General features: G+C 41.4%; 2 protein-coding genes across 10 annotated transcripts in view; one reads left to right on the top strand and one right to left on the bottom strand.

The window, feature by feature from the left end:
- Positions 1-11,169, top strand: part of FAN1 (FANCD2 and FANCI associated nuclease 1) — a 39,257-nt gene extending 28,088 nt beyond the window's left edge. For all 4 annotated transcript variants that reach the window (XM_011521370.3, NM_014967.5, XM_024449874.2 and 1 more), the window contains 2 exons: positions 5,180-5,320; positions 9,627-11,169. In XM_011521370.3, the coding sequence (XP_011519672.1) occupies positions 5,180-5,317 (138 nt within the window). In that variant the 3' untranslated portion in view covers positions 5,318-5,320; positions 9,627-11,169. The remainder of the gene's footprint in view (positions 1-5,179; positions 5,321-9,626) is intronic.
- The window catches only part of MTMR10 (myotubularin related protein 10), a 72,913-nt gene that overhangs the window by 13,224 nt on the left and 44,641 nt on the right, over positions 1-15,048 (bottom strand). For 3 of the 6 annotated variants that reach the window (XM_047432770.1, NM_017762.3, XM_047432772.1), the window contains 2 exons: positions 10,951-11,133; positions 7,002-10,133 (listed from right to left, as the gene is read on the bottom strand). The exons of 2 other annotated variants lie outside the window; for them this stretch is intronic. In XM_047432770.1, the coding sequence (XP_047288726.1) occupies positions 9,531-10,133; positions 10,951-11,133 (786 nt within the window). In that variant the 3' untranslated portion in view covers positions 7,002-9,530. Of the gene's footprint in view, positions 1-7,001; positions 10,134-10,950; positions 11,134-11,436; positions 14,841-15,048 lie in introns of those variants that run through there. One more of the 6 variants, XM_011521738.4, reaches the window with a different exon arrangement.

The raw sequence follows: 15,048 nt of genomic DNA on the forward strand, positions 1-15,048 counted from the left end.
AGGCCGGGTACGGTGGCTCACACCTGTAATCCCAGCACTTTGGGAGACAGAGGTGGGCGGATCACGAGGTCAGGAGATTGAGACCATCCTGGCTAACATGGTGAAACCCCGTCTCTACTAAAAATACAAAAAATTAGCCGGGTGTGGTGGCGGGCGCCTGTAGTCCCAGCTACTTGGGAGGCTGAGGCAGGAGAATCGCTTGAACTCAGGAGGTGGAGCTTGCAGTGAGCCGAGATTGCGCCACTGCACTCCAGCCTGGGCAACAGAGCGAGACTCCATCTCAAAAAAAAAAAAAAAAAAAAAGCCAGCTGAGATTTTAATTGGAATTCCTTTGAATCTGTAGACCAATCTGAGAGGAATTGGTATCTTAACAGCATTATTTTGATCAGCAAAAATGGGAGTTGATTTTGTAAAATATTAAGAATTTTTGCATATATGTTCATGAAGGATATTGAGCTGTACTTTTCTTTTCTTATTATCTCTTTGTTGGGTTTTGGTTTCAGAGTCATACCAGCATCAGAGTGGGATGGAATAGTTGGTGTAGAATTAGTATTATTCCCTAAACATTTGATAGAATTCCCCAGTGAAGCAGTATGGGCCTGGAGATTTTGGGGGGAGGAAAATTTAAAGCTATAAATTAAATTTATTTTTAAACAACATAAGGCTGTTCATATTATCTGTTTCTTCTTGATTGCGCTTTGCTAGTTTGTGTCTTTCAAGGAATTTGTCCATTTCATTTAAGTATTGTCTTAAAGTTGTTTATATTTGTTTCTTTTCTTTTTTTTTTTTTTTGAGATGGAGTCTCGCTCTGTCGCCCAGACTGGAGTGTAGTAGCGTGAGTTAGCTCACTGCAACTTCCGCCTCCTGGGTTCAAGTGATTCTCGTGCCTCAGCCTCCCTAGTAGCTGGGATTACAGCTGTGCACCACCATGCCTGGATAATTTTTTTTTTTTTTTGTATTTTTAGTAGAGATGAGGTTTTGCCATGTTGGCCAGGCTGGTCTTGAACTCCTGGCTTCAGATCTGCCCACCTTGGCCTCCCAAAGTGCTGGGATTACAGGTGTGAGCCACCGCACACGGCCATGTATTTCTTACTGTATTTTAATATCTGTAGAATCTTTATCTCTGTCATGCTCTTATTCTTGATATTGGTAATTTGTGTCTTTTCTCTTTTTTCCCTAATGAGTCTGGCAGGAGGTTTATCAATTTACTGATTTTCTCGAAGAATCAGCTTTTGGTTTCATTTGTTTTTTTATTTCCTAGTTTCTCAAGGTGGAAGCTATGGTGATTGCTTTGAGAACTTCTTTTCTAATAGAGTTAGGTAGTGCTCCAAATTTCCTTCTCAGTGCTGCTTTATCTGAACCTCACAAATTTAGTAGTTGTTTTCATTTTCATTCAGTTCACAATACTTTCTGATTTCCCTTTTGACTCTTCTTTGATCCTTGGCTTATTTAGAAGTGAGTCATTTACATTTCCAAACACTTGAGAGATTTTCAGGTATCTTTCTGCTATTGATTTGTAATTTAACTCCATTGTATTCAGAGGACATATTTTGTATGATTTGAATCCCACTAAATTTGTTGAGACTTGTTTTATGGTCCAGAATATGGTATTCCCTGGTGAATATTCTGTTTGTACTTGAAAAGAATGTGTGTTTAGCATTTGTTGTGGGCAGTATTTTTAAATGTCAATTAGGTCAAGTTGGTTGATAGTGTTGTTTAAGTTGTCTGTGTCCTTACTGATTTCTTATTTACTTGTTCTATAAATTATTGAGAGAATATTGATATCTCTGATTATAATTGTGGTATTTCTTTTCTTTTTTTTTTTGTTTTTGTTTTTTGAGACAGACTCTCACTATCACCTAGGCTGGAGTGTAGTGGCAGTGCGATCCTGGATCGCTGCAGCCTTGATCTCCCAGGCTCAAGCAATTCTTCTGCCTCAGCCTGTTGAGTAGCCCGAACTATAGGCATGCACCATCATGCCCAGCTGATTTTTTTTATTTTTTGTAGAGATGGGGTTCCACCATGTTGCCCAGGCTGGTCTCAAACTCCTGGGCTCCACGTTGGCCTCCCAAAATGCTGAGAGTATACCGTGCCCAGCCAATTTGTGTATTTCTTCTTGCGTTTCTATCACTATTTGCTTCATGTATTTTGAAGGTCTGTTATAAGACGCATAGACTTTTAGGACTGTCATGTCCTCTTCATGAGTCTACCCTTTTATCATTATGCAGTGACCCCCCCTTTACACCTGGTAATCTTTGCTCTGAAATCAACTTTGTCCGATATTGTCAACATGTAGCCACTTCAGCCTTCTTTTTTTTAATGTTAACATGATACATTTTTCCATTCTTTTACTTTTGACCTGTTTTATCTTATTTTTAATGTGGATTTCCTGTAGGCATCATATAGTTGGGTCTTACTTTTGAATCCAACTTAACCTCTGTCTTTTAATGGGGTGTTTGGAACATTTACATTTAATTTGATTATTGATATCCTTAGCTTTAAATCCTGATACTTATTTTCTCTTTGTCTCAGAACTCTTTTGTCCCTTGTCTTTTTCCTGAGTAGCTGGAACCACAGGTGCACGCCACCATGCCTGGCTAATTTTTGTGGTTTTTGTATTTTTTAGAGATGGGGTTCCACCATGTTGCCCAGGCTGATCTCAAATCCCCAGGCTCAAGCAGTTCACCTGCCGTGGTCTCTTAGTGTTGGGATTGCAGGCATGAGCCACAGTGCCTGGCCCTGTCTTATTTTTAAAGATTGCATTTGATAGCTTTGCTGGCTTGTTAGCTGTAACTGTTCATTGTGTTGAAGTGGTTGCGTTAGTATATTATATATCTTAAACTTATCCACCTTCAGGTGATACACACTTTAGAGTAAAAAGAACCTTTCAATAATATATATCTTCCCTTCCAGCCTTTGTGGTGTTTTCATATATTTTACTTCTACGTGTTATATGTTCTATAACATATTATTTTTGCTTTCTACAGTTGATTAATGAGTCTGTATTTACTCATGTACATAGCATTTCCAGTGCTTGCTATTCTTTTGTGTAGATCCAGGTTTCTGTGTAGTCTCATTCTCCTGCTTGAAGAATTTCCTTTCACGCCTGTAATTCCAGCACTTTGGGAGGCTGAGGTGGGCGGATTGCTTGGGCTCAGGAGTTGGAGACCAGCTTGGGCAAACACAGTGAGACCTCATCTCTACAAAACGATAAACAAATTAGCTGGGTGTGGTGGTGTGCACTTGTAGTCCCAGCTGCTTGGGAGGCTGAGGTGAGAGAACTGCTTGAGGCTGGGAGGTCAAGGCTGCAGTGTGCTGAGATCATACCACTGTATACCAGCCTGGGCAACAGAGTGAGACCTTGTCTCAAAAAAAAAGAAAAAAAGAAAAAGAAAAAATTTCCATGTCTAGAAGTTCTGCTAGTAATGAATTACAGTAGTTAGCCCTCTGTATCCATGGTTTCTGCTTCTGTAGATGCAACCATGGACTGAAAGTATTTGGAAAAAAGAAAAACAATAAAAAGTAACTACAACAATAAACAAATCAAATAAAAATACAGCATAACAACTATTTTCATAGCATTTATATTAGGTATTATAAGTAGAGATGATTTAAAGTATATGAGAAGATGTGCTAGAATATGCAGATGCGATGCCATTTTATATCAGGGACTTGAGCATCCATGGATTTTGGTAACAGAGGGGGTCCTTGAATCAGTCCCCCATGGATACTGAGGGATGGCTGTATTTAGGTTTTGTATGTCTTAGCCTTTATTTCACCTTTGTTTTTGAAAGATATTTTCTCCGTGCAATGAATTTTATGTTGACAGTTATTTTTCAATACTTTAAAAATATTAGTCTACTGTCTTCTAACTAGCATGGTTTCCAATCAGAGAATCTTTTTTTTTCCTCTGGCTTTAAAAATTCTGGCTGCTTTGACTATATCCCCTGATTATACAGTTGTGATATTTCCTAGGGTGCCGTTACATTTGTGTGCCTGGGATTCATTGATTTTCTTCAATCTTTGGGTTTACTGTTTTCATCAAATTTGGAAAATTTTTGGCCATTTTTTCTTTAAGTATTTTTTTTTCTCGTTCCTTTGGGGACTCTAATTAAATGTCCCTTAGGCTGCTAAATGCTGTATTTAAACAATTTTTTTCTATATTTTACCTATAGTTTTTATTGCTGTGTCTTCAAGTCTAGTGATGTGTAGTGAACAAAACACACAATTCTTGCCTTCATGAAGATGACATGTAGTATATATTTTTATCTTATGAATGCCATGAAAGAAGTGCATAGGGAGGATATACTTAGAGCTGTGACCTCTCCAGATCAGTTTAAGCTGAGCATTGAAAGGTAAGAAGTCAGGCATGTCAAGAACAGGGAGAAATGTCCCAGGCAGCGGGAACAGCAAGTAGCAAGTGGAAGTGAGGGCCTTGGGGTAGGGAAGAGACTGGTCATGGCAAGAAGGTTAGATTTAATTGAAAATGTAACAGAGTAATCGGAGGGTTTTAAGCAAGGAAGTAAAATCCAGTGCATGCTTTAAAACAATTTTTCATTTGCTATACTAAGAATCAGTTTACTCATCCTCTGTGAAGAACTGTCTAGTTTCTACAGAATAGAAGAATTTCTGAATAAATTTCTTAGCTACATACAGACGCTTCTCAACTTATGATGGCCTTATGTCCTGATAAATCCTACACATCAACTGAAAATATTGTTAAGTTGAAAATGCATTTAACATATTTATCCCACCAAACCTCATAGCTTAGCTTAGCCTACCTTAAATGTGCTCAGAATGTGTGCATTAGCCTACAGTTGGGCAGATCATGTAGTTCACTGCAAACCGTAGAGTACTGGTTATCCTCATGATCATGTGGCTGACTGGGAGCTGTGGCTCACTGCTGCTGCCCAGCATGGAGTATCATACTGGGAAAAGATCAACACTCAGAGTATGGTTTCTGTTGAATGTATATCACTTTTGCACCATTTTTAAGTCAAAAAATCCTAAGGTGAACCATTGTAAGTGAAGGACCATCCGTATATTTGTGTTACACTTACAAATACAGTGAGAGAGCAGAAGAGCCATTTAAATAGTTGTCAGTGACAACTACAACTTACTTGAATGGCTTTTCATTCAGTAAGATACTAATAACAACTTTTAAAAATTTCTTTTCCAGCTGGTGGAAGTTAAAGGCCCCAATGATCGTCTTTCACATAAGCAGATGATCTGGCTGGCTGAACTGCAGAAGCTGGGGGCTGAAGTAGAAGTCTGCCATGTGGTTGCAGTTGGAGCTAAGAGCCAAAGCCTTAGCTAAAAGGTATGGAATTGGGGATATTTGGTCATACATTAATGTAAGATTTTCAAGAGTATAAAACATGTTTTATTTAATTTTGTTATCGTGCATTATAAACCTGATAGTTTGACTTGTCATTTTACAGTGTCTGCATATCACAAAACAGTGTTTGCTTGAATACACTCATTGATTCCACACAGTGGGTAATAAACTTTTTTTTTTTTTTTTTTTTTTGAGACAGAGTCTCGCTCTGTCACCCAGGCTGGAGTGCAGTGGTGTGATCTCGGCTCACTGCAACCTCCGCCTGCTAGGTTCAAGTGATTCTCCTGCCTCAGGGTCCCCAGTAGCTGGGACTACAGGTGTGCGCCACCACGCCTGGCTAAATTTTGTATTTTTAGTAGAGACGGGGTTTCACCATGTTGGTTGGCCAGGTTGGTCTGGAACTTCTGACCTCAACTGACCTACTCACCTTGGCCTCCCAAAGTGCTGGGGATTACAGGCATTGAGCCACTGTACCCAGCTCATAATGAACTTTTTTAAAAGAGAAAAATTTTGTTGACCATTATTGGAGCTGGATGCATCTATATGATTAGATGTGCAAAAAGCTGGAAAACTCAAAAACAAGTGATGATTCATCTTTAGGTTTTTTTTATAAAAAAGTAGTGGCTGGGCACAGTGGCTCATGCCTGTAATCCCAGCACTTTGGGAGGCTGAGCGAGGCAGGCGCATCATGAGGTCAAGAGATCGAGACCATCCTGGCCAACATGGTGAAACCCATCTCTACTAAAAATACAAAAAATTGGGTGGGCTTGGTGGCACACGCCTGTGGTCCCAGCTACTCAGGAGGCTGAGGCAGGAGGATGGCGTGAACCCGGGAGGTGGAGCTTGCAGTGAGCCGAGATTGCACCACTGCACTCCAGCCTGGGAGACAGAGCGAGACTCTGTCTCAAAAAAAAAAAAATTTAAAAACTAGCATAACCAGTGTTTCCTTCAAGTAATTAATTATATGGGAAACCGAGATTCTTGAATTAAGTTTTTCTTTACTGCCCTATACACATTTAGCTGTTAAACTTTTATGATTATCTAAGAAGGGCTGAAACAGTTGAAATTCCAATTTCTTTAGGAATCAAAACATTCTCATGAAGTTGTGTTGATTTATAACATGTAAATGCTTGTTCTACTGATTGGGCCCGGATCATGAAAGGAATGAAGTCTTTATCAGAGGCAGTTGTCCTTCATTGTCCATCTCCCTGGGACCATCCCTAATAACTAGATAGGGGTATTTTCTCTGTTGACAGTACAGTCAAATCGGCTGCTCATCACCATTGTGGGAGGGTCTCAGGCTGGGCAAGGGGGTGTGGTAGAAAGGTGATTTATCCATGCGCCAGGCCCGGGAGTCAGGGACTGGAACCCCAGTCTGTCTCTTGACTTCTTTGAAGCCTTCTTGGGGGAATATTACTCCCCAGTTTTTATATTTATTTATTGAATGGAAGGACCAGTTAGGGCATGATCTATCAATATCCACATGGCTTTAACTTTAGCCACTTCCGAATTGCTGTTAAAAAAAGTTACTGATCACTACCTGGCTTTAGAGGGCAAGCAGAAACATCCCATGGATGACACAGAAGTATGGGTAGGAGAAGATGCCTTCACCTCTTCTATCAATCACTGTGTTCCAGTAGATGATTTCATACTGACAACAACAAACAGTCGCTGTGGAATTTTATTAAGCCATCAAAATTTCCTTCACATTCAATACTGTTGAACAACAAGATAACACATCTTCTTGCTCATCCCACTTGAACTCAAGTCATCAATTTTAGGCACAAAGGTTTTAGTTTTCTCGGGAAATCAAGTTTTAACCACTTGAGGTTACTACTGCAGCAAGCAGATTTTGTTGACAAATGTGAACAGCTTTCACCCTCTGTTAGTACAAATTAATATCCTTTCCTTAAATAAAGTTAGTTAGCTATTTTTGGTTTCAAAATCAGTTTCCATCATAAAATAACAGCAAGACACTGTACACCTTTACGTTCAATACTAGAAATTTCACCCAGTGCATCAGCATCTGTGCGGCATTCCCTCAGCACGGGCTCTGCTGGCGGGCAGCAGGGGTGCTGAGCTCTCTCTAGTGCGCCCTGTGCAGCCACACCACTGCTGTCACCACATGTCCCTCTGACGGCAGAGGTGGTATAAGCAGCTTCACCCTGGCCCGACTGAAGGCTGTCATAGTTGTTTTTCATATTATGCACAATAAACTGTAGCACAATAATCATGATATAACAACTGTCCAGCAAAAATAAAAGTATTTTACATTTGATTATCATACAAAAATATGCATTTTTCTATTTTTAACCATTATTAATAGTACCTAATATTTTTAAACTTGTAAATTAACAACAATAAAATACTACAAGAGTTAAAATAAACGTGAAGGAAGAAAATTACAGAGGGAAAAATGCTCAATCCAAAACATTTAGTAATAATAAAAAAGCAGCTAAATGAAAAAGGGAGAATTGTGATTACACTGTCAATGGCAGGATACGCTGTGGTGTTATAAGGAGATTGGGTCTGGTTTCTAATCAAGGACTGTAAAATGTTTAATAATTCTATTTGTATAAACTGAAACTAGCCCTTATTTTCTAGGCAACAAGTTGGCAAAAACCTTGGGTTTACCCATAAAGTGAATTTCTTAAGATATTTTTTAAGAACTCCTGTCCTGTTATATCCAGAGACATTATCAAATTTTAAAAGGCAAATAATTCAAAAAGAAACAGCTATTCAGTACATATAAAGGTAAAATACAGTTATCTTGAAAACACTTGTTTTAGAAAAGGAAATAAGCTAACTAGACACTTTACTATAAAAATTTTCCATATCTTAGGATGGCAGTTTAAGAAACAGTCAAATTTGAAAGTATCCATGTTTTAAGCGGGGAATGAGGAGTGTGGGGGAGGTGGTGCCCCGTTTCACTGCTGTAAGAAGCTTCAGCTTTGACCGCTACAGTGGTAGGTAGGCTCTTGTCACACAGTTTGGAAATACTTTACTTTAGAGAGATTCAGATCAAGCAAACAACTGTGTCTGCTCATTCTCCTCAACTTTGCTGTCCAAAGTTGGGGGCTGGGGGAGCACTTCTGTCGCTATTCAAATGGCAGTGTTTTGAGAGAATCCATTTTTTTATTTCTCCTCTATTCCTAAGCATTAGGAACTATGAGAGAAGGACATCTGTGCAGGTGCCCAACTCGTAACCTCATTAGTTATTTCCAGGGGGAAGTGCCAGCAATAGTTTACCACACTGGAAATACTGATGGCCAAGCCCAGCACGCCTCCCAGCAAGCCTTGTTTGTTTTTGAGGGCGAGTTTTGGCATAGATGGCACTCTCCTGTCTACAGCATACACCTCTGTGGAATCAGCACCCCAGAGGCCACTCCCCAGTGGCTTTCAGAGGAACAAGACTCTGGGGACTCCTGGCTATGAAGCTTAGTATGAAAAGCCTATTTCAAATATGCAATGGGATTTTCCCACCCCAATTTTAAAAAGTGAAATTATATTTTCTTCTGTAATATTTGTATCCTAAAGTCAAAGGCACTTCTAAGTTTAATTATCTGCAGCAAATGCTTTAAAATTAACAGTGCATATCATTTTAAAGTTGACCCTATGAAGTTAAAAGCAAACTCATGATTTCAAAACACAGTGATCTAAGGTTCCAAAGAAGGTGATCTAAAATCATAAATTCTGGCCCCAGAACACTGAACCTTCATCAGGTGAGTTCAATTAGAGACGACAGAAAGTAACCAGAAAAATACATGAATACTTCCTAAAACCTGCTGGAGGTTTTATCAGATGCTCCTAAAAATGACACGAAACACAAATTTCCTAACTTTCCTGTTGTCTGCTGCCTGGGGCTGCTAATGTGACTGACTATCAGATAGCCTTCAGGAGGTGGTAGGAAAAATGGATGGAGACAAAAATGTAGCAGACAACATGAACAGTTTGATCACGGTTACAAGAGCCAGACCTGTAATGACAGAAAGAGGACAGGAACAAAATTTACATCTCTCTTAAAATAAGTGTGAAAGAAGCATGATTCAACATGTTTTTAAATATTAGTGCAAATTCCAACTATTATTCTTACATATAAAGTTATTAGAGATTCAAACGCCTAGGTTAGCAATGTTAATTCAGAGGAAAAAAGTTGACAGCTTCCCTCAAAATGTTCAGAAAACACCCTATTTTAGTCTTCATTTGCTAATGTCTCAGTAGACAACCATATTTTGGCCCCACTTAAAAATTTGCTTAATGGTGTTCCTAAAATGCTTCGTCTGCACAGATTCCCTACAGGAGAAAATGGAAATGAGGAGGAGAGAAACTCCGGTGTCCCCGAGGTGTCGGTGTGGTGAGGGCCGCTGGCGTTGAAGTACATCCTGCTCTGGCCCAGCTCCCCATAGCAGGCCTCCAGGGGGCCACTGCGCTGTTGCCGCAGCATCCTGCTCAGTACGTCGACTTCATCAGCCAGGAGGGAGAGCTTGTGAAAGGCTGTGATGGAGCCACCCAGGCTGATCTGGGCCTCGGGAACCCAGCGGAAGTAGCACAGTTTCCACAGTTTTATGTGTGTTCCAGAGACACGTGGCAGAATAACACCGTGCAGGTTGGCGGGTTTGGAAAACCATTCTCTAAAATACTGCTCCGTATCACTGTTCTGGCTGTCGGTTTGCTGAGCTGGATCTGGCTTTGGTTTTAATATCAATGAATTTCTCCTTGGAAGTAATTCTTGGTCACTGATGATTCCATTCTTTAAGGCAGACGGCATTCCTCTTAGTGTGGAGCTGTAGCTTTTCTATACAGAAGAGATTTTATTATGTTCCGGGGATTCCCTTTTTAGAAAGATTGAAGGATGCAATGGCAAATATAAACTCAATACTATGAAAAATTAATGGAATTTCAGCCTCAAAGAACATTTTCCTCCCTTCCTTTGTGTCCTTATTCTAATCCTCCTCCCCTGGAATTACACTTTTTTATGTGTTGACTCTACCTAGGCTGTTACTATCAGCCTGAATGGGGGCGGGATGAGAGTACCTCCTATCCACTAATTTGCTTAAGGATAAGTTCTAAGACGGGCTAGAAAAAACACTAGACCTGGCCGATTCTATCAAGAACAATGGCAAACTGAACAGAGGCAGTCAGGAGGCCAAATGTCTGATTCTTTGTTCTGTACCTTTCAGTAGTCTGCAAATTTTCTACCAAAAAAAATCCCAAGAATTTATTTGGGAATTATTAAAAAGGCAAACAATGAATGTTATTAGGACAAGAATATAGCAGTCAGGAGGCCATGACTACATCACAGCCAGGCGGCATTCCCTGCCACAGTGGCGGCTTGAATCATCAAGAAATGGATAAATGGGGCTTTAGTAAATCAGGCTTGCAGGCTCAAAGCTGCAATCTGCCCACTCTCAGGTACTGAGACTTTGTGGGCCTCAGACACCAGGAAGAAAGCTGGGATACAGTCATTTGAGTTAAAAAGGGAATGACCCCTCAGAAACCCGCATTAGCAGTGTTACTCTTGGAAGTGCCTTTACTTTTAACGCTCTCTGTTCTGAAAAAGAGGTGTTTGGTTACGTGTGAGCCAACATCACGTTTTGTTAGCTGTGATTTACCTTTGTCCGTTTAAAAGACTTCACGGAGCCATTCTGTATACAAGGTGTGCTCTTTCCAATGTAGAAGGGGTTATGGAAAAGGGTGCGATCCTTTGCTGTAAACTGGAGAGACCAGTCCCAAACAGAGGGGAATTTTAAGCCCTTCTCATCACCCAATTGGATGTTTTTGCTTATAGCAAATTCCTGCAAAATAAATAAATAAATATTTGCAAAACTAAAGATTCTCTCATGAATGCCTTTTTTCAGATGAGCCACTCATCATTACACAGGTTAAATGTTCTGTACTGCAGCCCTCAAAACCCACCAGAGTGGCACTTTCACTTCAAGAGAGGAGACGCTCCTGGCCTTTGAGCTCAGAGGGCCCCACAGTCCCCATGAACAAGGAGTGTGCTTTTCAGGTGCCCTCTGCCTTAGGACCCCAAGGAAGCCGTGCCCTTTGGGCAATAAGAATGTTATTAAGAGAAGTTTCACTAACATGATACTAGAAAGTCTTAAACATGTTGAATTTATTTCTATAATTACAGTATTTTACTTTTATGAGCACACGGTCAGTACATTTAAGTAGTTACCTGTTGGTAAGTGGATTAACAAAATCTTTGGATGGAAATCACTGCCACCAATTTTATAACTTACTTCGTAAGTGGGGAGCTACACTTCACTGAGCCAGTGATCTCAAATCACAGACCACAGACTCAGGGTAGGAAGGAAGGGATCAACTCCCTGTGGTCCTAGCATGTGGCTAAAACCATGGAGACCATGTACACAGGAGACCCCTCCTTCACAGGAGTCCACCTCTAGCCCGGACTCTGGGCGGGTGCAGCCTAGTTATCTGGCTTCCCACCACAGTAAACTGAGGCAACACAAGGCTACAGGGTGACAGCCAACCACCGCATTGTGAGGAAGACATGGAGCTCCTCTGGAAGGCAGCCCAGACCATTTCTATGAAGCACAGTCACATTTAGCAATGTGGAGAAAGGACTCTCATCTCAGCTGATTGATGGCAGCAGGCTACCACAGCAGTGTATACACAACAGTTCGCTGGAGGAAATAACTCCAGACACAAAGTCGCTGGATGATGGGAAATGTCTGATTCTTTGTTCTGTACCTTTCAGTACTCTCCAAATTTTCTACCAAAAAAAAACCCCCAAGAATTTATTTGGAAATTATTAAAAAGGCAAACAATGAATGTTATTAGGACAAGAATATAGCAGTCAGGAGGCCATGACTACATCACAGCCAGGTGGCATTCCCTGGCACAGTGGCGGCTTGAATCATCAAGAAATGGCTAAGCTGTGTAACAGCACAGGGCATTTTGTAAAGTTTTACAAAATTTTCTATTTCAAATAAGTAAAAATTCATTAAGCACCAAATACACATACTCTTAACAGTTTTGGCCAGGCGCAGTGGTGACTCATGCCTGTAATCCCAGCACTTTGGGAGGCCGAAGGCAGGCGGATCACGAGGTCAGGAGTTCAAGACCAGCCTGGCCAATATGGTGAAACCCCGTCTCTACTAAAAATACAAAAATTAGCCAGGCATGGTGGTGTGCACCTGTAGTCCCAGCTACTCGGGAGGCTGTGGCAGGAGAATCACCTGAACCTGGAAGGCAGAGGTTGCAGTGAGCCGAGATCATGCCACTGTGCTCCAGCCTGGGTGATAGAGCAAGACTCTGTCTCAAAAAAAAAAAAAAAAAAATTTTAGTTACTTGACATTTCATCATGTACATGGATTAAAAACAATCCATTTGCTTCAAACACTGTTAAGAGCTGAAATCTAGTAAAACATGAACCCAAACGTGTTTTAATGGCCCTTCAGTAAGTATATAGAAAATGTCCTCTTGGCCAAGCACGGTGGCTCACGCCTGTAATCCCAGTACTTTGGGAAGCTGAGGTGGGCGGATTGCTTGAGTCCAGGAGTTCAAGACCAGACTGGGCAACATGGCGAAACCCTGACTCTACAAAAAAATACAAAAATTAGCTAGGCGTGGTGGCATGCGCCTGCAGTCCTAGCTACTCAGGTGGTTGAGGCGAGAGCAGTGCTTGGACCCAGGAGGCAGAGGTTGCAGTGAGCTGATATTGTACCACTGTACTCCAGCCTGGGTGACAGAGCCAAACTGTCTTAAAAAAAAAAAAAAAGATGTTCTCTTTTTTAAAAGGTAAAAATTAAAAATATTTATCCCAAGAGAGACCAGATTTTCTATAAACACTACCTGGCCACTAGCACCTAAGGTGGCCTCAGAATGGAAAAAAAAGGAAGAAATGCTTTGGGCTTTTGCCTGTGTGGAAGGGGCTGAGAACGGTTAAGAATCACGACCCTTAGACAATGACCAGTTCCTGCTAGGGAGGAAGGGAGAGGGGGATTCATGTTAGTATTTGTCAGAAAAGGCTTTTGAAAGAGCCAAATTAAAAAGAGCACTAGAACATGAACAGGGAAAGCAGAGGAAATACTTGTAGAAAGTATTTTTTACAGCTCCCTCAATACAATTCAGTAATGTTCATTCCTGGTGAGAAGTCTGTCCGCACACACAGCATCAGCCAAGCAGCAGAGGCAGTGGTGTCTGGGGGCTGGGAGTCCTCCACGCAGATACCCACCCATGCACTGCCCAGTCCCCAGACCCCAAAGTCTTTGTCCTCGCCTCACGCACCTTTTGCAGGCTCACACTGTGTGCGCACGGGGTAGTGACGGGAGACAATGGGGAAGAGCTGAAGGAGGCAAACAAGGCCAGGGGGAAAGCCTAGCTCGAGGCAGAGAGGGGCCCCAAGAATGATTATGGTGACGAAAAATAAAAACAAGCAACTGGGAGAGCATGTATTTTAGGAACAAATGAGCGTTCCATGCCTCAGGAGCCTCTAAGCCTGTATCACTGGTTCTCAGCACAGTATCTGGAAAGGTCAAACTTTCCTGGTGGGGTGGGCAGGGGACAGACTCTGGCTCTATCACCCAGGCTGGAGTGCAGTGGCACAGTCTCAGCTCACTGCAATCTCTGCCTCCTGGGCTTAAGCCATCCTCCCACCTCAGCCTCCCCAGTAGCTGGGACCACAGGTGCGCACCACCATGTCTGGCTAATTTTTGTATTTTTTGTAGAGACAGGCTGACGGTGTTGAGTTTCTTTGAGCCCTGGGTTCCCCAAAAGTGGCAATGCTGGACAATCTCTCCTGCCTTTTGTGTCCTGAGAACTGGCTCCTGTGGACTGAGACTGCCCTCCCTCCTGATTCCCCTGTCTTCTGACTATAAAATCCCAGGCCTTGTCCTTTTCTTTGGGATGCCCATTAATTAAGTTCTCCCTCCTGCAATAGCCTAAATAAAATCAGCTCCTTAACTGACCAGTGTGTTTTGTCTTTTATACCAACAAATCCAGAATAATTCATATGTCTTTAGGAAAATTTGCATAATGATTCACAGTTTACAAAATGTTTCACCTCATACAATGAGACTAAAGGCATAAGTGTTAGTTTGACAGATCCATTTTACAGGTTAGCAACCTGGACTCTCAGGCTGAAGCCTGAGTGGAACATGGGCCTAGCACTTTTCCCAGACCAGGGCCAGAACTCAGGTTTCCCGCTCCCTAGGTCACACTGCCTAGCCCAGGGCCTTACGGCTGAGGCTGAAGACCCCGGAGCTCACTATGAGGGCAATCCTCTTCCTAGAAAGGCTTCCTGAAGGTCCACAAGAGCTGCCCCTTTCTGTTTCTCTCAATGGTCTCCACGGCATTTGTCAGCTTCTGTTGTTGGTTCGAGGTGGGTGAAATGGCACTTTGGTTCAGAATGGTTTCAAGTTTGGCTTGAGACCCTGCTTAGTCATAAATCCTCTACATCAATGAATTGTGACCAGAAACTTCAAACTCGTGAAGGAAAATAATCTTGTTTTGTACAACTTTTTATCCTACTGACCTAGGAAATAAATGTCGTGTAACAGGGCTTTTGTTTTTTACTACCCAATAGCCCAAATGTGAAATATAAATACAAAAGCATGACATTTAAGGTGGTTAAAGTAATTTACATCTTTAAAGGGGTTTACTACAAAACATTTACATTAGAGTAAAACAAAAAATGTTCATTCATAAAAATAATTTCCTAGATTTTTGTGTCTTCAAAATAA

The sequence above is a fragment of the Homo sapiens genome, chromosome 15 (assembly GCF_000001405.40).
Source record: "Homo sapiens chromosome 15, GRCh38.p14 Primary Assembly".
NCBI classification, from domain to species: domain Eukaryota; kingdom Metazoa; phylum Chordata; class Mammalia; order Primates; family Hominidae; genus Homo; species Homo sapiens.